Here is a 24,469-nt window from a genome sequence, read left to right as displayed (position 1 = left end):
CCAATCCTAAGCAAAAAGAACAAAGCTGAAGACATCATATTACCTGATTTCATATTTTACTACAAGTCAATAGTAACCAAAACAGTATAGTACTGGTATAAAAATAGACACATAGATTGGTGGAACAAAATAAACATCCCAGGAATAAAGCCACATTTTTATAGCCAACTGATGTTTGACAAAATAGACAAGATCATACACTAGAGAAAGGACAACCTTTTCAATAAATAGTCTGGGAAAATTGGATCATCATATGCAGAAAAGTGAAACTGAACCCCTATCTTTCACTGTATACAAAAATCAACTTAAGATGAATCAAAGACATAAACATAAGTCCTAAAACTATATAAAAAACACTAGAAGAAAACCTAGGAAAAACTCTTCTGGACATTGGTCTAGGTAAAGAATTCATGACTAAGACCCCCAAAGCACCAGCAACAAAAACAAAAATAGACAAATGAGACTTAAACTAAAAAGCTTCTGCACAACAAAAGAAATAATCAGTAGAGTGAACAGACAATCTACAGAATGGGAGAAAATATTTGCGAACTATTCATCTGACAGAGGATTCATACCTAGAAACTACAAGAAGTTCAAACAACTCAACAAAAAATCAAAGAAGTAATCCCATTAAAAAGTGGGCAAAAGACATTAATAGACATTTCTCAAAAGAAGACATAAAAATGGCCAACAGACATGAAAAATGCTCAACATCACTAATTATTAAAGAAGTTCAAAGTAAAACTACAATATCGTCTTAACACTAGTCAGAATGGCTATTATTGAAAAGATAATGTATAACAAATATTGGTGAGTTTGTGGAGAAAAGGGAACTCTTATACACTGTTCCTGGGAACGTAAATTAGTACAACCTCTATGGAAAACAGCATGGTGATTTCTCAAAAACTAAAAACAGAACTACTATTCTATCCAGCAATCCCGTTATTGGGTGTCTATGCACAGGAAAAGAAATCATTGTATCAAAAAATACCTGTGCCCGTATGTTTATTGCAGCACTAGTCACAATAGCAAAGATACAGAATCAACCTTAGTGTTTATCAACAAATGACTGGATAAAGAAAATGTGGCATATATACCCAATGGAATACTATTCAGCCATAAAAAGAATGAAATCATGTTTTTTGCAGCACAATGGATGGAATTAGAGGCCATTATTTTAAGTGAAGCAAGTCAGACACAGAAAGACAAATACCATATATTCTTACTTATAAGTGGGAGCTAAATAGTGAGTACACAAAGGTGTAGAGTGTCAAATGATGGACAATGAAGACTCAAAAAGGTAAGGGGACAGAGGGGGGTGGATGACGGAGGTTTTGGGGTACAGCGTACGTTATTTGGGTGATGGATACTCTAAAAGCCCTGACTTCACCACCACCCAAGCTATGCATGTAACAAAATTACACATATGTCCCATAAATTTATACAAATTTAAAAAAGAAGAGGTGATCAGCAATGTCATGCCTAATGTTTAGTGATTTGCTTTGTTTAAAATGATCACACACAGCTATTCAAAGTAATTTTTGTGTATAATGTAAATGTTCCATGTACCATTTTTATACTGGAGGGGAATAGATGATTCATTGCCTTAGAGAATATTGCTTTCTTTATAATATACTTTTAAAGTAAAATAAAAAAATTTTAAAGTTTACCAAATTTTTGAGCACATGCCTATGAGTAATCTTAAAGTCTAACACACTCCTAGCAATTTAGAAGAAAGTTTCTGTGGAAACACATTTTCCAGTAGTCTATAATCATCTACAGTCTGCTTTGTACCGTGCACAGAAATATTTAAGTGTGTTGATGATATTCATTTTCACTTGCAATCTGGTTTAACTGGCAACTGGCAAAACCAGTTAAAATTAAGAAGATGGATATTTTGAGCTAAACTACAAACAATTCTGCTGGAAATAGAACGTGATAACTAAATTGCTATCATTCATGCCTTGCTCTCTAGAATCTGGCTAATGGAGGATTGAAAAGGCTACAACTTTCCTACATTGAACATAACAAAACAGACCAATAAACTGGCTCTCCTTGAGCATCTGAAATTTCCTCCAGACATCTCACAAATGCAAAGAGAAAGTTAGCGCCAAAACAAATATTATACTCAACAATTTCGACGACTAATATGTTAAGCAGGAATTTCTCTCTAAACGCTATAAAACTAAAAAAAAAAATACCCTAGTTTAAGGGCAGGTTTAATCCACCACTGTGTGCATACCACACAGGGATAAGGAGATCATTAATCTGAACCAGCTTTAGCAGTTAATTAAAATATGTGCTGTGTCACTCAGAGTGTTTCTCTAAACTTAACTATTATTGAGATTTAGAATCTCTTTAAACTAACAAAAAAAGAAGAGCCATCTTAGAGAGAGGATGGAAGAAGAGCATCTGTTCTGCAAAACATCCCACAGCAATTGGCTTGGTTTCTCTGCTAATTATGCTCCACATCAGGCTGGGAAATTTAACAGGTAAGCTTTTATTATTTACTCTGGTCTCTTTGTTGAAAGATGCCCCCTCTGGTGGCCATAAATCTATTTTTAAAGAAAAATAATTAGTTACAAGTGCTTCTCAAAAATTGATGGTGAGAGAAGGAAATCAAAATACTTTAGACCCAAAGCTTATTTTGTTTTTTTTGTGGCATTGGCTGTTCGTTCTCTCCAAACTTTTAGTTACTTCATACACATGGACAAGAAGCATCACTGTCAACTTTAATATCTATCTAACAGACTGCATGAGAATACCCAAAAGCAAAAGCCAAATTGTGTCCCAAGACTCTCATAAGAGAAAGATGCCACAGAGAAAAGAAGATCTGAGCAGATCGGTCTTTGAGGTAGAACAATCCGGATTTTCGGTTTCTTGCCAACTGCCAAAGAATTTCAAGAAAACCCATCTCACCACTGCAAGAGGAGACCATAGAGGTCTTTGGGAAAACACATGGGAGAGGTACTTCTCCTCCCATTCCTTCACTATAAGGAATCATATAATAGTAATTTTCAATCAAAATAAAATGTGAAAAAGCATTGTTGACAAATTTTATGTCACTATGGCAGAAAGTCTATAATAACTGAAGTTCTAGCAGTTATGAGACCTTCTTTAGTAAAAACACCAGTGTCTATTTCATCTCATTGTTCTAGTCCTATAACATTAAGCCTAGTGAAACTCAATACGCAATTAATTAGATATAACTTTAATTGCAGTGAATCAATACATTATTTAACAAATATGCTAAGTTAAAAATCAATCTAGTCTCCAACCTAAACTTCACAAAGCTCTCAGAATTTCTATTTAATCACTTCTAAATGATTCTCCACCAGAATCAGCCAGCTTCAGCCTTTACTCAGTCAGTCCATCAGCTTGGAATGACCTCCTTCCTTCTGTTCTTCCTCTAAGTTCCAATCAGTGCTCACTGAAAATCCCATCTCCCCTAAGAATTCTGTACCCGCAGGAGTCTACATCTTTCCCTGAATTCTACTGGAGTCACATGTATTGTCTTTTTTCATTTACCTATTTGTAAGTGATTCGTAGCTCTTCAGCTAAACTGTGTAGTCTTGAAAATCAGGATATATGATTCTTTTTTTTTGTATACTTGTATGTGATTCTGTTTTTGTATACTTGGACAAAAGTAGTATTCATTAAATATTGCTGTACAAGTCAGTGAGTTAAGTATATTTAAAGAAAAACAAATCAATCATCAAACAACACATATTTATCAAGACCCTACTTTGTATGAAGTGTAATCCTATGGACAAAGGATGACATATGTACACACACACACACACACACACACACACACACACACACACACAGACCCCCAGGGTCTTGATCAAGTAGGCTTATTTTATACTTAGGAAAATAAGACCTAGAGTGGTGCAAGATAGCCAATGATGCATAGATAATAAGTATAAAATGGGCAATTAAAACTTATGAGCATAATTTTAAATTTATATATGTATATAATTTATGTACATTTGAGTATAAGTGGAATGTTGAAAGCAGATGGAGCCAGCATTCCACGCAGAATGTGTCACCACGTAAAGCTTTATCCCACCGCAAACACAGTGTCAGGGGTAATCCAAGTGTTTGGAGTTATGTCCTATTAAAGTCTTGGTTGATTTTATCAGCACTCATACAAAAAAGTTATAATGATTTTATATCCATATAATGTATATATTTTTAAGTTAGAGACATTAAAAATAATTAAAATTAATCTCTTCATAGCACTTCTTTGGGAAAATAGACACAACGTTATTATAAAACAAAAGAGTAGGTACTACCTCAAGCAAGTTAAATACTGGTTGCCTTCGTAGACTGTATGTATATCTACATTACAGAACATTTATTATTGAGGATTTTGAGAAAGACTTTTAGCCTAACTGAACTCAGTTTCATAATATCACATAATTGTGCATGTTCTTCATCTTTAAAATAAGAGCATTAAACAAAGTGATAGCCAAGCTTCCTTTAAGCTTGCTTTATTTGTCCAAAACAAATACCAGAGACACCCCCTGACTAGAATGAAATGCCTCCTAGCTGTTCACACTAAGTAATTACTTTTATATAATGCATTCAGCCTGGAGAACTCAAGGATCTCTGAGATTCTACTCTATCTTATTATTAGAAAATCTCCATAAGATGGGTGTTATTGTCACCACTCTTTAAGAAGTTAAATGAAGGCTTAGGGAAACGAAGTTGCTTGTTTACGGAAGGTCAAAGAAAAGAAAAGCAGGCAGAGGTAGGAATACACCTGACATCGTGGATCGTTTCCTTTGCCATACCCCAGAAGCATCTCAAGAACAGATTGACGGTAAATATCACTTTTCTGGGTTTAGAAAACAAATGTGTGGAAACATGGAGGCAAAGCCTGGATCTGCTCACTGGAGAGGCGGAGAGTTGTTCTCTAGTTGGACCAAGTGATCTGTACCGTTACATGCACTTGAGTGAACCAGTGGGGTAAAAGGTTTTAAGTGTCTCAAAAAAGAGAACTGTTTCTACTGCCTTCATTGAAAAGTCTGGATTCTGCACACTTCTCTGGGTCCAAGACACTCTCTTTCAGGACTACATCTCTGAGAATTCCAAGCTTGAAATGTAACTTACACATCAATTATCATTCTGTCAATTTTACAGGTAAGAAAATAGCACAAGACATATAAAATTCACGGATTTTGAAGCCACCTGAAATGAATTTTGAAATAGAGATCTACCAACTTTTTTACTTGTGAAATCTGGAGTATGATGGGTAACCTCTCTACCCTATCTTATCTGCAAAGCAGAGATAACAATACATTACTCCTATGAGTGTTTCAGGCATTAGATTATTATGCAAAGAAGCTATCATGGTGGGGTCACTTAGTTGCTGTCTAATTATTGCTAACCTGGAAGGCTTTGGGGATGATAATTTAACTAAGTCACAAAGTTCCATAAGGAAAGTGTTCAGGGCTTTGTCTAGTTGTCTCATTTCCCTGTAAAACAGGGCCTCTACAGAAGAACCACAGTTAGCATTTTGTTACTAATTCCAAAAAAACACTAAGCTTTGTCTTCAGCCACCGGATTTATTAGAGTGAGCAAGGACTAGGGGCCTGAGGCGAATCACTATGGGGAATAAATTAGGCAGAGTGAAGAATGAAACTCATTGTTATGCAAACACAGGTTAAAAATGCCGTTGTGTGAATTTTGTTTGGCTTTGTTTTAATGAAGGAGTGAGGTTTGTGGTTTTAGCAAGCTCCCTCAGAAGGGGACCATTTCCACCCCAGGACTCATTTCCATGGAAGGCCCGTGGTAAACCTAAGGCAGCTGGTAAGTTTAGCACTTTTTGTTGTCCAAGAAAGTGTGTAAGAAACAAGGGCCAGCATTTTCACTGGACTGTCAAAGCAAAGATTGCAATAATTTTGTAAAATTTTGCAAAAAAATGACAACTCTGTGAAGTGAAGGCAATGTTAATTAGCTTGATCATGGCAATCCTCTCACAATGTCTGCATGTGTCAAAGCATCATCACATAGTACACTATAAATATATACAATGTTTGTCAATTACACCAAAATAAAGCCGGAAAAAAAGGAAAAGAAAAGAAACATGAAAAGAAAGTGACAATTGATATATATGTTGTGTAACATCAAATAAAACTGCATGTGAACTAACATCACGTTTGCAGAAACAGAGGAACTCAACGGTTAATGTCAATCTTATGAAATAAATATTCTTAAGATGTTTATATAGGAGTATAGTTTATGCAATTAATATGTTCTTAAAACATTAGGAGCAAACATAACATAATTTTTACAAATTAAAACTTTTTGTCATGCTAGGAGGAAAAACATTTGAAAGGACATTCTCTGGTCAATATTTCTATAAAAGTTACTTATCTCATTTTAATGTTAATTCTGTATGTTGTAAACTGATTCATCCTGAGACCCACTTTTTGTTACTGAATTCTTATCAAAAAGCAAATTCCTTTGGGGCTTAAAAAAATTGCAGCACACATAATCACATAGGCAAGGAAGACTTTAAGGATGTCGCAATAATGGAAAGGGCACCAGAACTCAGTCTTAACTCCACTGGTAAAAAATGGCTGGAGAGCTTTTAAGAGCTAAGACTAGGGATGGAGGAGGGATTTTAGGGCATCTGTTGGCTTATTGGCCTTACCCAATGGAAAAGTACATTTTCTCCTATCTTGAGGACAGGAGGCAGTTTTACAACTTGGAAAATGTTAGGCTCCTATCCTCCCGTAGAAACTGGGAGATACGGATGCTATCTTTTTTGATTATTTCTTTTCAAAGAGATGACTCCCAGATCCTTGAGAAAGACAGTTCTGAGTTGCAAAACTGGCAAGAAGCTTTTAATGAGATTTTCAACTCAAAGATGTAAAGGAAGAATTTAAAATTGCAATTTTTTAAAAGTAAATACTTATTTAAAAAAAGGAAGGCAAGGATCCTAGAGGCTTGAAGAACCGTCTAAAGTTTAGAAAAGCTGAGAGGAACATTGAGGCCTCCTTGAACAGACTCATCATAAAGAAGTTTTAAAGAGAGAACCTGGGCTCCCTCACACTTCAAAATGTTCTATAATATCTTAGTACATAAAATGTGTCTTTGGGTTCTCATTCCACTGTCCCATCTGACACCCTCACGTTCCCCCTCCTACCTTACCCCCATAAGCAGCCTCCCCACACACAAATGCACCTGCAAATCATTCCTACCTCATTTTCCTCCTTCTTTGCAAAGTCCTCAGGCTGGAAAACCTAATTTTGTTCCTCAGTGAGGCTTCCTTGCCTCATGCACCTCACCTGTGTTCTCAATGGGTTGCCTGATGCCATAAACTCTGTGTTCATGCCCTAATGGAAGGCTCATGGTAGATTACTGTGTCATCCTTCTAAGATGCCTGCGTATGTACAGTGGACATTTGGGAACACAATATCTAACTCACTAGACAGGCCCTCTAGAAATTAGTGCTAATGAAATGTGAACAAGGCAGACAATTTGGGTTGAAGATAAGGCGGAGATGAGTGTAGTCTTCAGAGCCTCCCCTAAATTTCAGCACACGGCTTTCCCTTTCCCTGGTGTGTTCTTTCAAAACCAATGGTGGCAGTAAAGCATCCCAGAGGGCTGACGACAAATGGGTGCATCACCCCAGCCCTGCATGGAGGAGGGTGGGAGGAGAAGGGAGAAGGGTGTGTAGAAGCTCTCAGAAAGTTTTCAGGCTTTTTACCTCTTTATGTATATTTTCGTTTATGATCATCACAACACTCACTATCTTTACGCACAAGCTCATTTTCAAAAAAACATAAAATAGGCCAGGAGCAATGGCTCATGCCTGTAATCCCAGCACTTCGGGAGGCCGAGGCAGGTGGATCATCTGAGGTCAGGAGTTCGAGACCAGCCTGGCCAACATGGCAAAACTCCATCTCTACTAAAAATACAAAAATTAGCTGGGTGTGGTGGCATGCACCTGTAATCTCAGCTACTCTGGAGGCTAAGGCAGGAGAATCACTTGAACCCAGGAGGCAGAGGTTGAAGTGAGCCAAGATCGCGGCCTTGCACTCTAGCCTGGGTGATAGAGGGAGACTCCATCTCAAACAAACCAACAAACAAAACCCATAAAATAAATGAATATTTTTATGAATAAGTACCAAAGGAGATATCAGAAAGTTCCAGTATAGACGTAGAGTGTAAATGTCATCAATCAAACCAGAATCCTCCTGACTCATAGCACACCCGGAATGTCCATTTAGTCCCATTCAGCAATCCTCTGGTTAAGGGCTTGGCAAAAGGAATTGAGGCACCCGTCTCCTCCCCCAAAGTAGAATTCAGAAGACATTCCTAAATATACAGGCAGGGAGAACCTCTTTGGAAAGTTTGCACTTTAGAACCCTGAACGTTAAATTTTCTGTCGCCCAGGCTGGAGTGCAGTGGCGCAATCTCGGCTCACTGCAAGCTCCGCCTCTCTGGTTCACGCCATTCTCCTGCCTCAGCCTCCAGAGTAGCTGGGACTGCAGGCGCCCGCCACCACGCCCGGCTAATTTTTTTGTATTTTCAGTAGAGACGGGGTTTCACCGAGTTAGCCAGGATCGTCTCGCTCTCCTGATCTTGTGATCCGCCCGCCTCGGTCTCCCAAAGTGCTGGGATTACAGGCATGAGCCAACGCGCCCAGCCATTTTCTTTCATTTTTATGTGCTTCCCATAAATTTCATAAAACTCTGCTTAAGATTTTATAAATAATTATTTGTGAATATACCAGTAGAAATGGATATTTGAGAGAATTACAAGTTTCAGTGTGCTTTAGAAAGTCTACAGAGTCAGCCTCCAAAGAAACATTATGGAAAAGAGCAGCCTCTCCGTATCCATGACTGGGTGGTCACCCAGCAGCAAAGATCAAGGTTATTGATCTCTTCTCTATACATCTGCCCTACACATTTGGGTCTACTGCTGAGGTTGAGTATTACTGGCCATCCTTTCCCTGCAGGTGAAACAAGGTCTTTCGGGTAATATAGCCCAAATACAGCACTTACGCCTTTCCCTGAAACTGGGAAGACAGCAGAAAGCGTGTCTCCTCACTCTCATGGGCAGTGTAACTAACTTAGAGGTCTAAGCCTGTGGGTCTTGTAAGTCTTATAAGTGCTTCCCTTCCATTATGTGCAAGCCACCTGGGGAAAGGTGCAGGGGGCAGGAACTTGGAGGGCAGAAATTTTGAACTTGAAAGAAATAGTCAAATCAAGGAAAATAATTAAATAATTTATAGCTCTTTTCCAGGATAAATATGCAACTACTCTTCTTGGGGTAATAATGATAATAATCTCTTTTTCTGCTTTTTACTCAGACGTAAGCATTGTGCTACATTATCTGCTAGGTTTTTATTTTAAATTGGAAAGCTAAGTATCATTTTCACTAGAAAACTAAGTAAATTGCTAAGGCAGTAAGTGGCAGAGTGAAATGTAGTTCCCTCGTCCCTCTGACTGTAGCCCACGCTTGTGATGCCTCTGCCTAGTGTAGGGAGTAGTTAATTCTAGAATACCGTGCAAGAACGGAAAGACCAGGAGTTTGAGTGTCAGAATAACATGGCTTTCTTTGAATGCAAACTCTGCAATATACTCAATGTATAACCTTAGAAAAGTTGTTTAACACCTCTTACTGTCAGTTTCCAACCTATAAAATATAAGAAATTGTCATGATAGCTCTCAGTAGAAGGCTCAGGATATAGGAATAGGTTCACAGTAACTATTACTTCTTTTCCTCCCTGGAGTATGGGGGATGGGGAGAACTACTGTTTTCTTAACAAGGAATTGAGAAAAACCTAGAAAAGTTGCTGGCATCTCAGTAGGGGGAATAATGTGCCCAAATGAAAAACCAAAAGTCATTGATTATGAAGTAAAATAGAAAAGATTCTTTCTGGAAAGAGAGATCAATGATTAGAGAAAGACACCCAGGTTAGAGCAGGTTGAAGATAGGCAAGATTTGTAATAAATATTTATAAAACAATGAAGAAAGAGGGGAAATGAAAGAATTAATAGCCAGTCTGATAAAATGCTGGCCAATCCGTAAGTATAGAATCTTGCTTATCAAGATCAACAAAATCATACCACTAAATTGTATTACATTATTGTCCTCTGTTCTCAATAAAAATAAACACCATAAATAGTGTTTATCTTTGAGGAAAATGCATATGCTAATCTTAAATCAAGTCCACATATTTTCTTCCAACGGAAATATGAATATTTTCCTGGTAAATCTGCCTTAACATCCTATGATAGATGTTCCCATTGTTCTTCAGGAACAAACAAGGTAGGATTTTTTTTTTTTTTTTTTTTGAGCAATGTGCAAAATGGAAACGTTTGAAAAATAGTTTCTTAAATCGCAGCGTGTAGTCGCTAATGGGCTATGACAAGCTATTTTTCCAGTCTTCCATTTTCAATCCATATTTCTGAATAGCTTTGTGAGATTTTGCATTAGTTTCACAGATTTCCCCAAATGATTATGCCGCAGTAATAGAATAAGGAGCATCTGCGGCAGGCTGATTGTATCACACAGTGTTTACTGAGAATGAAGGACTGTCACACGCATGCTGATCCGAGAAATAAGCTTGAAGATTACTATTATTAAACAACCAACTGTTAAAAGATCCACACGACATATTAAGGGGAAATATAGAATAAATTGGTTTTGTTGCTTAAGCCAAATATTTTGGAATTCATCCACATTAAGCTCTCACTTTTTCTCACCATGGTCCTTGATTTTGTGATAAGTTTGCATACATTACTGTTCCCGGAGGTACATTTAGTTTAATTAAATTTTACTATTAAAAAGTATTAAAGCCAGCTTCTCATAATCCTTAGGAAACCTGGCGTGGAAACACATTGCTTCCCTAACACTTTCCTGAAGGAGCTTGGACGACTTGACTCAGGCAGGTTGAGAGACCAGAAAGCCATCCAGAGAGAGCAGGGACCCAGCCATCCACCACCTGGTTCTACTCCCACCCTAAGGTTTGCCTCCTCCAGGCAGCATACACGGTAACAGGGCTAGAGGTTAAGACACTTGTGTTCTACTTTGGAATCTGCCAGCTGACTTAGTCTTTTCATATTCTGTTTTAAAATATTATGATTATGTATTTTCCTTACTATTCTATAAACAAGAATTCACATTTGAAACACTAAAAATGACAGGGTATCAGGGAGCTTATTTTCCATTTGAGCTGCATTCAGAAGCTTCTGCTGTCCTCATGCTCTCCCCCATTGTTGGCTGAGAACCTACTGTGTGTCACGTATTAGGCTGGAATCTGGGCATACAGAGGTGAGGAAGGTCAAATCCTCTCCGCCAAGAGATTTACAGTCTCATCATGAAAATGCCCTGCCTTAATCCCTATCTCACACTGACAGCTGGTCTTGAAGGAGAAAGAGCTGCAAGTTCTGTTAGTCATTCTGAAGGGAGGAAATGGAAAAACATGGTATGTCACAATAAGGCAACCATCCTGATGAAATAAGTGTTAAAGTATGCAAACTATATATTTGAAGGTAGTTTGTCATCTATTTTTTCTCACAGTCTTTCCTCTGATGGATTACTGAGTGCTTATTTGATCCATGATTGTCAATCATCCATCCTTGCAACATTTAACAAAATACAGACCCACTCTGTTCTCAGAAAGCACCACACAGAGATTCTGAAGCACTAATCAGGATGTAGAAAAACACTCCAGTCACCCTGCATTGGAAACGGAGAAGTGCTTTCAGAGCCATACTTCCTGCTGCGAGGTCATTAGCAGTGCGTCCATCCACAGCAAAGTGTTTTGCCACAGGTAATAACGGCTTAGTTTTTCCTAATGTTTTCCAAGTGTAGCATGAATGAACCAGCCAGTGTTTCTGTCAGGCCAAAGCAAAGGCTCTTTTGTTGTTTATTTTATTCTGCATTTCTTACTTAGCAGCAGAGATCTTTTTAAACTTCTAAATAACTCGTGCAAAAAAAAATTATCTAAAATATGGACACAGATAACAGGTAAATATCCAGACAAGGCTAAGTCACTTCCAAAAAGAAGATCCCCAAGTCCTCTGTGCCAGTATCTTTGTAGGTCACCATAAAAAAATCTCAAGCATTTCTTCTTCAAAAAATGTCCCATTTATACCCCCAAAGTCTTTCCAATTTACCTTTCTATGCTACTATTCCTCTATAGTACTGTCAGTCTAGTAGAACCCAGTAAGCTAGTTACATTGTTCAAACTGTTTTACTATCATCCGGTTGTAGAGACAGAAACAGATAGGCTTATACTCCAGCTGAACTGAATGTGCAATACCAGCTTAAGGTATGTTACTGTTCCAAGCCTCAGTTTTCTCAGAAAAATGCAACTAATAAGCAGATATTCTTTGCAGAGTGAGGAGAGGTAAGGTTATGCTACGATAACAAACAATCCTTCACTCAGTGGCTTTACACAATAAAATTTTATTTCTTATTCATACAAAGTCTTCTGTGGGACCAGAAGGCCTCTCAGGGATCCAAGCTACCGAATAATTTTGACTCTACTATCTCAATACAAAGCCTCCTTTTAGATGTCCAGGAGAAGGTGGAGTAGAACAGGGGTTCCAATCTTTTGGCTTCCATGGGCCATATTGGAAGAAGAAGAATTGTCTTGGGCCACACATAAAACACACTAATGATAGCTGATGAGCTTAAAAAAAAATTGCAGAAAAAAACTCACAATGATTTAAGAAAGTTTACAATTTTGTGTTGGGCTGCATTCAAAGCTATCCTGGGCCACGTGCGGCCCACAGGCCACAGGTTGGACAAGCTCGGAGTGGAGAGTCTTGCACTGGCAATTAATTGAGTGCTTTAGCCTGAAGGTGGTGCACATCAATCCTCTTCCATGTCCAACGGCCGGAACAAAGTAAATGGCTACATCCAACCACAGGGAGTCTAGGAATTGCAGTCTTCCATGTGACAGGAAAAAAAAACCAAGATATTTCTGAGCATTAGTTATGTCTACCAGAGTTGTTGTTAAGATTAATGAAGTAATAGATAAAAATCTTCCCAGCATACCCAGTATACTTTCAAAACTGGTAGACGCTGAATACATAGAAGGCATGATCATGATGATGACGATGAGGCCGATGATGACAATGAATAAATGGCTCAATATGTAAATAAGTAAATTAGAAGTGTTTCATTTAATTACTCAAGTATTCACATGCTTTATCACATGAAACACAAATTTGTTGTTAGTTCCAATTGTAATTCCTATTTCTACTACTAATGAGACAGGTGCCTTCTGACCAAAGCTGTCCTGATCAGTAAGAATCATGGTCTTTTCCACTTAATTTCTCCAACCTTTCACACCATCTTGCATTACAGGCAGTTCCTAACATGACAAGCTATCATACTCTTTCACTAATGGGAACCCTCTTGAGTTCTGTTTCCTGTGCACTGACCCCAATTAAACAACTTTGTATTGGTGTCCCTGTTTCAAGACCCTGTTAGCCTACTCACTAATGTTAGTCTCTTAAATTACTCAATAGAGTACCTCCCATAGGATCAAATACATTTTTCTCAAATCCTAAATGAAATATTACTGTTCCACAAATCCATTTCACACATCTACAGCAGTGATTTTTCAAATGTGGGGGTAAGGGAGATTGATGTGATGCAACATATTCTAGATGAGCTTTAGGCAGAGCTTTCTCCTCCTCCACATAAATGGGAAAAGAAATAAAAGTTAGTTTTTAATCCCCTGAATGGGGAAAATAGCCCTAGATGTATTATGTTTCTTTCTTTTTCTCCAGGTTCCATCCTCCATTGTATAAATACTTCGCAGTCTTTGCCAAGGCTCTACCCTATATATTTTTACACAGACAGATAAGTGAAAAAATATATAATCAAAGTATGTATTGGAGCCAACTGTACACTTGTTTGGGGCTGGTTCCTCAGTGACAGTGTCTACTACACACCTAACACTATCAGATTGTGGATGTGACTTTCTTGACCTCCACCCTAGGGGCTGTATATGTAAGCACAGATAAGGGTTGTTTCTCAATTCTTGTTTGTTTCACCCTTTATTTTCTTATCACCTCACATTTGTTCATCTGGTTCTAATTTATTAGTCCTGGGAGACAACTCTAAGAGGCCTTCTGTGACCAAGGAATGGGAATAGACTGTCCTTGGCTCCAAAACAGCAGTAGCAGTTATGGTTAGATTGAACTAGCATAGTTACCTACTTCTCTGACCTGAGTTTTCATCTTTCCTTCTCTCTGTGCACCCACCTGAGGAGGGCGAATGGACCACAGTCAACTTATCATGCTAACCCATAATACTCATGTGTTGCACTTCTTTCTTTTATGATTCCCCTTCTCTCTCATTTTCCAAGCACCCCAAGCCATCCTTAGCTTCCTTTATAGATTTAAGCAAGTTCTTAGCATGCTGGCAATTTTCCAGGAAAATCTTACCCTTCCTTCGACTTTAACAAAGAGGGTATGTTGCTTCTTCAATTTGTAGAGTTGGATTATTATCCAGAAATCAGCAACCCCATTTTTTTTCTTAAGGCCAGTGGTCTCTCAACCTGGGTCTGAGGCTCTGCCATAAGTAATAGAAACCTGGATGTATAATTCTGTGCCTTTACCTTAATCAGTAGCACACCAATCACCAATTGTAGATTTTTAGAGGTTGTTTGCCTGCCTTGTCTCAGCTCCCCTGCTTGTGCTCATTCTCTCCATAGTTACAGCAGAATAATTGGTAAAGCCACCTTCAATGGCCTGAGCCTGTTCTGGAGAACCCTGCTCGTGGAGATGTAGAACCAGCCTATTGTCATTCCCATGGCCTTGGATATTATGGACAGGTCTCAGGTGGTAGGGCCTCACCGACCTTTAATCCTCCCTCTGGAAGGTGGATTTCAGTCCTCTGACTCTACCCTATAAGATACATTGACCACATGCCTCTTCTTCTGGCCAAATTAACACAAACATGAGAATCCAAAGTTCTTTTGTATCTCCGATGTCACGAAGAATGAGTATATTTCTGTACTTGGGCAAGCCTGGTTTCTATTCTCTAAACCCTCCACCACCATGTCTCCTGGAACACATGTGCAGAGGACTTTTGTCCATTCATTTTCATCAGTCAGAAATGCAGTAGGCAAAAGCCAATGCTTCCTCCGTGCGCATCTATCCCAATGCCTTCTGTACGCAGCCATCATCACTCCAGCATCTGAAGCTTGAAGGATTTCAGAGAGTTCCCTTCAATTTTTCTCTTTCCTCGACACTATGCTGATTCACCAGTATTTATCACCTTTATGGGAAACACATATCATAGGTCACAGTCCTCCCCCTTACTCCTTCACATTCTGTCTCCTGCAGATGTCCCCAGTGTTTCGTAGCACATGGCCTCTACCAAGCATTCTATTACTTGTCTGTTTCTCTGACCCAGAATATGAGCCCAGAACAGTCGAGGTTAGTCACTTCTAATCCAGGTCCATTTGCAATGAATCTGTCTTCACCTCCACCAAAGACTATTATTTTCAGTGATGATTCAAGGATCTGAGCTCTTTTCTCCATGGGGCTCCACCATTTTGAATGTCTTCTCTTTCTGCCATGCAGAGATGAGAAAATGAGATTGAGGAGAGGATTTTGAAAAATATTTTATGGGCCAGGCCCGGAATTGGTGCACATCAATTATACCCTATTTCTTAGCCAAAATGTCATATCTGTAAACAGCAATTTGCTCACTAGCTTTCAAGATTTTTTCTTCATGTATCATCCTCCAAGGTAACCAGGAGCCTTCATTTCTTCTGTGAGTACATAAACAATGCAGCTGGCAAGTTTGCCACCTGAGCCACAATCAGGAACACAAAGAATGAAACAAAGTTGTGTTTCATTTTTCTTTTCTTATTCTGCTTGCTGATCTAATTCCAGTTGTTCCTGCGTCATTTTTCTGCTCCTTGACTCACTGGAAGCATCATGATCATACTTGGGTCCGTGTGTTCTCATTCCAGAGACACACACGTGGGATGCCAGCCCATGGGTTAATTATCACAACACTGACAAGGCAGCATTGATTCAAATGACAAATTAGTGTTATTTATATATTGAGGCAGCAGAGGCATTTTGCAAGTGTCATGATAGAACCCAGAAACTCCAGATGACAATGGAGGAAGGGGGTATAAATGACAGAAAGAGGAATGGGCAGAGGGAGAGGGCATCTTCGAACATTTGTTATTGGAACCAGAAGCTTCTAGGTGGTGACAAAATAGATCTAAGTTTGTAAAGGTGGAAATGAGTGAAATAGCCAGGAGCAGGTGTGGAGTAAAGACGTCATTGCCAGGAAAGCCAGAGCGTAGGCACAATCTCAGCCAACCTATGTCCAGGCTTCCAGGCATAGCAGACATGCCCAGGTTTACAGAAACATGCTGGGAGATGCTAACCTCAAGAGCAAGGGGATTCAGAGGCTAAGCAGAGGTGAGCAATGGATCACTGGAGAAAATATACACAACACTTCCAAATTGAAGGGTAACCTGAAAATGCTGAGGTTCTGTAGCATTAAATAAACCTTCTAAAGTTCAGGTGCCAATCAGGGCTTCAGTTTGTAGAAGCAGAAATCTCAAAGGCTAACTCTGTTGACAAATTGCTAGTATTCCCTTCCTTCCCTTAAGCCAGAATGTCATTGGAAACAATGTTACATGCATTCCTGCAAAGGGTAGCACCCAGGTATGGCCAATTGCAGGACATGAGAAAGCACAGGGATAAAAGCCTTTCTAATTATATCTCTCCATTTTCACTCATAACTGCTATTTCTCCTTAATTTGGTTGATGTAAAAGTAACTGTGAGTTACTGGAAATTGTGATGCTTCTCTCACCTACTAACCAGGTTCTCCCTGTGTCATTTCAGAGATATTTATCGTAGTATTGATATTATTGGATCAGGTGTGGCCTCTTTAAGAAAATGAATTGAGCAACCGCATGGATCAAAATTTCATTTTAATGCAAATGTTGGGGGATAAGTGCACCATTGCCACCCTATCCCATACCATTACCATAGTGTAAATGTAAGGCATCATTTCTTTGAACACATGTACTCTACACACACGTACACACACGTGCACGTACACACATACACACCACCCACAGAAATAATATATAATGTTTATACAATTTGAGGGGTTTTTAAATTTTTAATGATCAATTTCACTAGATAACTTTTTTTTGTTTGTTTGTTTGTTTTGAGACGGAATCTCACTCTGTCACCCAGGCTGGAGTGCAGTGGTACAATCAGTTCACTGTAACCTCTGTCTCCCAGGTTCAAGAGATCCTCCCACCTCAGCCTCCCTAGTAGCTGGGACTACAGGTGTGTGTCACCAAGTCCGGCTAATTTTTGTATTTTTGGTAGAGATGAGGTTTCACCATGTTAGCCAGGCTGGTCTCAAACTCCTGACCTCAGGTGATCCGCCCACCTCAGCCTCCCTAAGTGCTGGGATTACAGCCGTGAGACACCACACCCGGCCTAGAAAACATTTTTTATATGCACTGTGATACCTCAGGGAAGCTACATGGCAGGTTGAAGCAGAAAAATAAAAAACTGTCCTTTTTTTTCTGACTCTTTTGCTCTGAGGTCTTAGAGCACCCAAACGGTTTGTGGAGGAGGTAAAGAGAGGGGAGCTGGGGGGTGGGTGCTGAAGTAGTAAAGAAGGAGACCAAGAACAGCATGCTGGAGAAGCAGGGGGAGAGTGAGGGGTGTTACACCCTCCAGCCCCCACCACCGAGAATAGAACAATTCCACAGGGCCTGGAGGAGGAAGGGTAGAGAGGCCTCCGGGTCCCAGGATGCAGCCTGGGCCAGATTTCCTGGCAGATTTCAGGAGAAACGGACATAAGGTGAGTGTCCAGACCGGTCCCTGGGCAGCCTCAAAGAAAATTTTGTTTGTCCTGGGGAAGTGAAGAAGCAGCAGAGAACTGCCACTCCTGAAGGAGGCTCCCAAGCATAACACTTCCTAATTTCCCCAGGAGGATTTGCCCCTTCAAGGTAGGTAGAGTCCTTGCTACTTCTCTCCCAGCAAAAGAAAACAAAATCTGCTGTACAATAAATCCCAGTCAGGGAACCCAATCACACTTCTTCTATGACATCCCCTGTCATTGTCAAAATCTGAACCAAAGCTGCTGACATGCCAGCACGTGAAGGCAAGAATGGTAATTGATTAAGGTGCAGGTTGGGTTCTCAGGAGGAGGAATCTTCTTTCTATGGATGCTTACATTTCAGACACATAAATGAACACTCCCTTTTCTCTGCCTCAAAATTAAGCTGAAGTCTGCCTTCCTCTGTAATATACAATATGTCTACATTTCTTTATACAAATTTCTAGAGGAAATAGAAGGCGGAGAAGATGCAGACTTCAGAAACCCACTTATTATCCAAGGAGGATGAGGGAGACTCCAAGTGGTTATCCCATACCTGCTCCCCACAATATGCATCTAGAAGCTTCTTTCTCAGAAGAGCCCGCCACCTGCCGCTCACAGTGGAAACTTCACTATGAACTTTGCTACCCATTCTGGGTGGTATTAGACAATGTGTTCCCATGTAGGTACCACCTATATCCATAGGTCCTTGCAAAAGACTCAACACTATGAGGATAGAATCTTTCTTTCTGTCAAGAAATAAAACCTACACCAGATTCCATTGTGACATACGCAAGTCATGGATTGACATAAGAAATACATTTTTAAATAACCATATACATATGTAAATATTTGCCTATTTGAAAACTTCACAGTGCTTTCTGTGCCTGTAACTGTGACCCTGTCCATGTCCACAGATCATTCTACATTTTTTGAGGCTAAAATTAACATCACCACTGACTCTAGTATCTAAGCAACACCAAAAGAGTAGTTATAGATAAACACAGCATGGTCAATAACTCAAAAAGAACAAATTAGGAATCTCCCCTTGGTGTAGGGTAAGTATATTTGTCTTAAAACATACAATGCTGGTTATCAGCCATGGAGGTTAGAATTAAAAATTCAAACACATTTGGCAGGAGTTCCTGAGCTGAGAAGAGAGAAAGTAGGGTAAGTATAATATTCTACAAGAAAATGACTAAGATAAAGACATGCATTTTTAAGAAATGTATGAAAGAAACAAAGCCCTTGGACAGAATATGAAATCAAAATCAAACACATTTTAGACCCAGTTTAGTGAAACTGGAGAGTGCTGAAGACAACGAGAAAACAACCAGGACGAGAAGTGCCGCAAAAGGAAGATAATTAAGAGGCTTTTCATTAGTAACAAGAGAGACTGTGAATAAGAAATGCTATCCTCAGGCTGCTTAGGAAAAAATAATTGTCTACCCACACTCATTTGAACTTTCAGTTCAACAGTGGAATCAAGAAATCTACACACGAATGAAGACTGAGAGACTACTATTTGAGAAAGACAGGAATTGATGAGGACAGAGGAGATTAGTAGCAACATGGAGCAGGGAAAATGGCAGACACACGTGGACAAATGTATATACTACAATTTTAAGTTTCTGTTTGTGTTTTATATCTTCTGATTCAGGAAGCTAGAAATAGAATGTGACCAAGAAGGTATGTCAATAAGAAAAAACAATCAAATAAGAAGGAATTAAGAGCTGCTTCAGGTGTTAGGAATCATGAGAACTAATCCACTACAGAGCATGCTCGTCCTGCCTGCCAAACATAAGTTGATCACTGGCTCACTGATATGGGGTGGATCTGTGTCCCCAACCAAATCTCACGTTCAGATGCAATCTCCAATGTTGGAGGTGGGGCCTAATGGGAGGTGACTGGATCATGGGGTCAGAGTTTTCATAAATGGCTTAGCAACGTCCTTCCTTGATACTGTATTGTGAGTTCTTGTGAGATCTGGTAGTTAAAATATGTGTGGTATCTCCCCACTCTCTCTCTTTCTCCTGCTCTGACCATGTAAGACAAGCCTGCTTCCCCTTTGCCCTCCGCCATGATTCTAAGTTTCCTGAGGTCTCCCTAGAAGCAGAAGCTACTATACTTCCTATATAGCCTGCAGAACCATGAGCCAGTTAAATCTCTTTCTTTATAAGTTACCCAGTCTCAGGTATTTCTTTATGGCAATGAAAGAATGGCCTAATATACCCACCTATCCTGATTTTTAGCATTTTGGTCATTTCTGGCATTTGGGTATGTCTCTTCAGTTCTTTATTTAAAATGCCATTATATTTTACCCTTTATACTTATGTTCCCAATATAAAACAGGGGACTTGTAACCACAGAGTACGTATTGCTGGAAGCTGACATTCTAAATGTCTACTTATAATGAATCCAAAAAGTTGCTATGAAACTCTAGGGAAAGGTAGGAGATTAAAATGCTAAGTTCTATTATTGTTTTTTAGGCCTTGAGTATCAGTTTATATGTCTTAGCTCACTAGATCATGGGAAGCAATGCTGAATGAGCATAGCAAAGGGAGAATAACTGACAGACCTTTAGGCTTCTCTCATGAAAGCATTTTGTCCAGTTGCTGCTGAGGGCTTTGTGCTTGTGTATGTTTATGGGACAAGTGAGGATAAATTTCAAATATTACTGATATGAACAGCGGTCACTGGGGGCATCGGAACACAGGATGATGTTGTCGGTTTGTGAAATTGACTTGGTTGTCAGGACTTGGGAAGGCACATGTTCTAGTGTGGAGTTACACTGAGCACTTCAGGAAATGTCTGGGGAATCTATTTTGCACTATAAAAATATGACTGGAAAAATTTTAAGTAGTAGCCCAAAAGAGTCAGCCACATTCAAGCAGCCATATTCATTTGTAGGCTACAACCTACCATGTGGAAAACTCTGGCTATGCAGTCACATCATACTGAAGATGGATTTCCATTTGAGTAACTGATCCTGTAAATTTGGTTTTGCTTTTCTGTGAGGCTGCTGCAAGGAAATGAAGATGCCATAGAAAAATGTAGTGAGTTAAACAGTGTTCCCCAAAAACTTCTTCCAGAAGAAGCTTTCCACCCACAGCCTCAGAATGTGACCTGATTTTAAAAAGGTCTTATTAAATGTAATCTGTTAAAATGAAGTCATCGTGGATTAGGGTGGGACATAATCCAATGACTGGTGTCTTATAAGAAGGAAACTTGGACACACACACATACATAGAGGGAAGACAATGTGAAGACAGAGACACAGAGAAAATACCATGTGACAATGGGGGCAGAGATTGGAGTGATGTGGCTACAAACCAAAGAAAGCTAAAAATTGCCAGCAACCACCAGAAGCTAGCAACATTTTTTCCCAAAAGCCCTCAGAGCATGCGCCTCTCAACAACTCAATTTTCTGCTGATTTAAGCCACCCAGCTTCTGGAACTCTGTGACATCAACTCAAGGAAACCAATACAGAGGGCATTGTTCCCATATGAGCACTGTTATCTTTACCCTAAGGTGGGTGTCACATTCTTGTTCCTCGATGCCGAGTTAATGATTATTGCTCAGGTTCATTTCATTCTGAAAATACAGCTTCTCAATCCCCTGTCCTGAACTGAGGTGATCATAAAAAGGGGTTATCAAATACAAACCCACCATGAGACTCAAATTCTAATGGAGATAAACAGCACTTAGCAATGGTAGAGACGGGGTTGCTCAGATCATTTGCAAAGATGTCCAGCTTTGTGCTCCTGAGGATCCAAGGGTCTTTCAAACCATTTGGAATTTTCACAGGAGGTTTTCACAGAGGAATCCTAGAAAGGTCTCTGGAAAGCAAGCACCCTGTTTTCTCCATAAAATAAATGAGGATACAAACACACTCTATTGCAAACAGAAGAGTCATGACACTCTTCACCAGCAGCCTTCCATGGGACATTCATTCATGGCTCTCCCTCTCAAAAAGCCCTGAATCTGAACATAGCAGGCAACTGCCTCATGTGACAAAACAGGAAGCCATATATGGACACACAGGTGCACGAGTCTCTCAAGTGCTGATTTTCAAATGCTGTAAATCCCAGGAGAAATACACAGCTATAACTGCATAGGAGGCAATTTGCCAGAGAAAAAAAGAGAACATTTATTTTTGATTTCAAGTAAAAAGAGAAAATCAATTCATTCAAAGACTTTATGAGTCATTTCAGTTATTTGCACTCACTTGCCTAGGGATGTGGGTAAAAGTAGGGTAAATTGGGCTTCCACAAATAACCAGTGAAGAAGATGGACTGATTTCACAATCCTGGCCCTGACTGCTTCGAGTTGTACTGGGAAGCCCCTTGAGGAAAAGAAAGGCCCAGCACCGGGACAGTCCTGAGGTTGTGGTGAACACACAAGCCCTCCTGTGACGTTCTTTCTTCATACTTTCAAGAAGTTTCATGTAGCGGAGAGCTCCAATTGACTTTTTGTGTATTTAATTAAATGAAATATGATGCTTGAGTAGCTTTGAGGGGGTGTTAAAGAATCACACAGAGCAAACTACTTTGGTCTACAGCTAATTACTTTATCTGTTACACGAGGCTTTTTATAAGGCAAAAGAATCCTGTCATAACAACCATCTCCCCTGAAGAAAAAAAAAACAATATTTAATGGAAAACTTAAACTTCTTGGAGTTAGCCAGCCAGCTTTCTTGTAAAAATAATTGGATATTAAGTCTTTCTTTAAAAATATATGTGCTATGTCGAAGTAGGGTTGCATTATAAATAGAGACTGCTACTAATTCAGTTGCAAACTGTAACTAGCTTTCACTTTATATTAATGCCCAGGGCAACACGGAACACCTTACAGCTTTGCACAACTTTGAACTTATTTGTGTTCCGAAAAGCTGTATGTATGTTAACAAGGAACCTGAGAACACACCATTTTTTGTGCCGTTTGACTGGCAGACTTTGCCATGTAGAACATATCAAGTATTCAGGAAAGGGCAACTCACAACTTGAAGGATGTAAACATTACAAAATCCACCATCTGCAATGAGAAACGAGGATCCCAGTACCTAATAAAACCAAGGGGCTGGATTTTATTCTCCCTGATGGTCAAAACCAACTGTTTGCACTCAGTTCCGAGTTCTTACCATTACACGTTAAATCCTCTGTGAAATCCTACTACAGGAAAAAGACAAGGTAAACTAAATGAATTCAGGTGACCAGCTAGCAAAAAAGATTTTTATTTTCAGGAGTGAGATCATTTCAAAGCTTAAGACCAACTATATCACTGTCGGTGCCTCTTCCATCTCTGGGTCCAACCCTGCCTCAGCAGCACCTTGCATCTTAACCACTGAAACCTGTACTTAGTTCTCAGCAGGTTTTAAACATCTGCTGACCTCTCTGATTCCCCTATGAGGCTATGAGTTTCTACGATTGTGCCTCATTCATCTTTTCACCCATCACCACCTCACAAGATCAGTGATTAATAAATAGGGCTTTTAAATAAATGTTTAAAATCACAAATTTAGAGAGTACACATGTATGAAATGTGACCATATTTAGGGACCATAGAATACACAGACAAAACATTAAAACAATGTTTCCAGGTATATAGCATTTAATATATTATTATAAGGAATATCTGCTTTTTAAATTACAATATTTGCACCTCTTCAGACAGTAAAAGTAAATGAATGATTGGTGATAAGAAGGAGAAGGTCAACAGGAATAGAGACAGGATATCTTCTCCTCTTACTGATTTGAATAATATCCCTCTATATCCTCTCTGCTCAAACACCCCACTTTCCTTCTATTCATGGGATGACTGAGGTTCCTTCTCCCTCAGGTCTTTCTCCTTCCTTACATTGTATGAAACTTCAATGCTCCTTGTCACTTGGCTTAGTGCCTTGACCCTACCCAATATTTTTGTCAAATTTAAGCCAACCGCACACATAACTTCAGAAAGAGGCTTGGGGTCATCTAAACCAGGCTGGGTGCAAATAGAGGACACGTCTAAGGCTGTTCAGGTCCAGGCTTTAGATGAGCACTGATTCACACAGAAGAATGGGGGACTTTTACACTCCCAGGGTTACTCACTTTCATTGTGTTTTGCAGCATTCACTGAAAACAACAATTTATTTTCTTTTTTCACTTGCAGGATGGAAATTATCTGGTTCCACCCCTGGATATGATCAACCTTCATAGACTGTGCATTATACATGGTGAGTAACCATTTCAAATTCTTTCTTTAAAGTTACAAACCTAAGAAAAAAATTAACCCTATTTATAGAGTTTCTCATAATTTGTTTCCCAAATTAGAATGTTACTTATGAGTACATGAACTCACTTCAAATTTTCTACTTCTGTTTCAAGATGTAAAGCCACTAATTGAATGTGGAACTGGTGTGTGATCCATGCCAATTAAAAAAGAATTATCCTCCTTATTGTTGCATTCTGCACTCTAGGTTACACTTCTAACTGCCATGATTTTTATAATAACAGAACTCACTCCTGGGTCTTCATTTTCTGCCGTACCTATAAACACGGTCAGGTTTATGAATCGCTTACGAAGGCACTAGGAACTGAAATACTAGTTTTTAAAATCTGAATATT

At 39.2% G+C, this 24,469-nt stretch overlaps 2 long non-coding RNA genes across 7 annotated transcripts in view, besides 2 other annotated features; one reads left to right on the top strand and one right to left on the bottom strand.

Annotated features, from left to right (window-relative positions):
• LINC01924 (long intergenic non-protein coding RNA 1924) overlaps nucleotides 1-18,564 on the bottom strand; it is a 319,511-nt gene extending 300,947 nt beyond the window's left edge. The window contains exon 1 of the long non-coding RNA NR_033881.1: nucleotides 18,420-18,564. This is a non-coding gene — a long non-coding RNA (long intergenic non-protein coding RNA 1924). The remainder of the gene's footprint in view (nucleotides 1-18,419) is intronic.
• LINC00305 (long intergenic non-protein coding RNA 305) overlaps nucleotides 1-24,469 on the top strand; it is a 69,094-nt gene that overhangs the window by 26,434 nt on the left and 18,191 nt on the right. For 2 of the 6 annotated variants that reach the window (NR_190189.1, NR_190193.1), the window contains 3 exons: nucleotides 10,845-10,991; nucleotides 11,548-11,800; nucleotides 24,015-24,078. This is a non-coding gene — a long non-coding RNA (long intergenic non-protein coding RNA 305). The remainder of the gene's footprint in view (nucleotides 1-10,844; nucleotides 10,992-11,547; nucleotides 11,801-24,014; nucleotides 24,079-24,469) is intronic. The other 4 variants (NR_027245.2, NR_190192.1, NR_190191.1 and 1 more) reach the window with 3 other exon arrangements.
• Nucleotides 5,361-5,951: an enhancer, noted in NCBI's record as "OCT4-NANOG hESC enhancer chr18:61783938-61784528 (GRCh37/hg19 assembly coordinates)". NCBI's record gives its function as "activates a minimal SCP1, AML or CMV promoter by ChIP-STARR-seq in primed H9 embryonic stem cells {active_cell/tissue: H9 hESC(primed)}" and the evidence as "EXISTENCE:reporter gene assay evidence [ECO:0000049][PMID:30033119]".
• Nucleotides 11,464-11,965: an enhancer, noted in NCBI's record as "NANOG hESC enhancer chr18:61777924-61778425 (GRCh37/hg19 assembly coordinates)". NCBI's record gives its function as "activates a minimal SCP1, AML or CMV promoter by ChIP-STARR-seq in naive H9 embryonic stem cells {active_cell/tissue: H9 hESC(naive)}" and the evidence as "EXISTENCE:reporter gene assay evidence [ECO:0000049][PMID:30033119]".

Source organism: Homo sapiens, chromosome 18 (genome assembly GCF_000001405.40).
Source record: "Homo sapiens chromosome 18, GRCh38.p14 Primary Assembly".
Lineage (NCBI taxonomy): Eukaryota > Metazoa > Chordata > Mammalia > Primates > Hominidae > Homo > Homo sapiens.
Note: the sequence above shows the minus strand (reverse complement) of the source record. Positions and strands in the feature narration are given on the sequence as shown.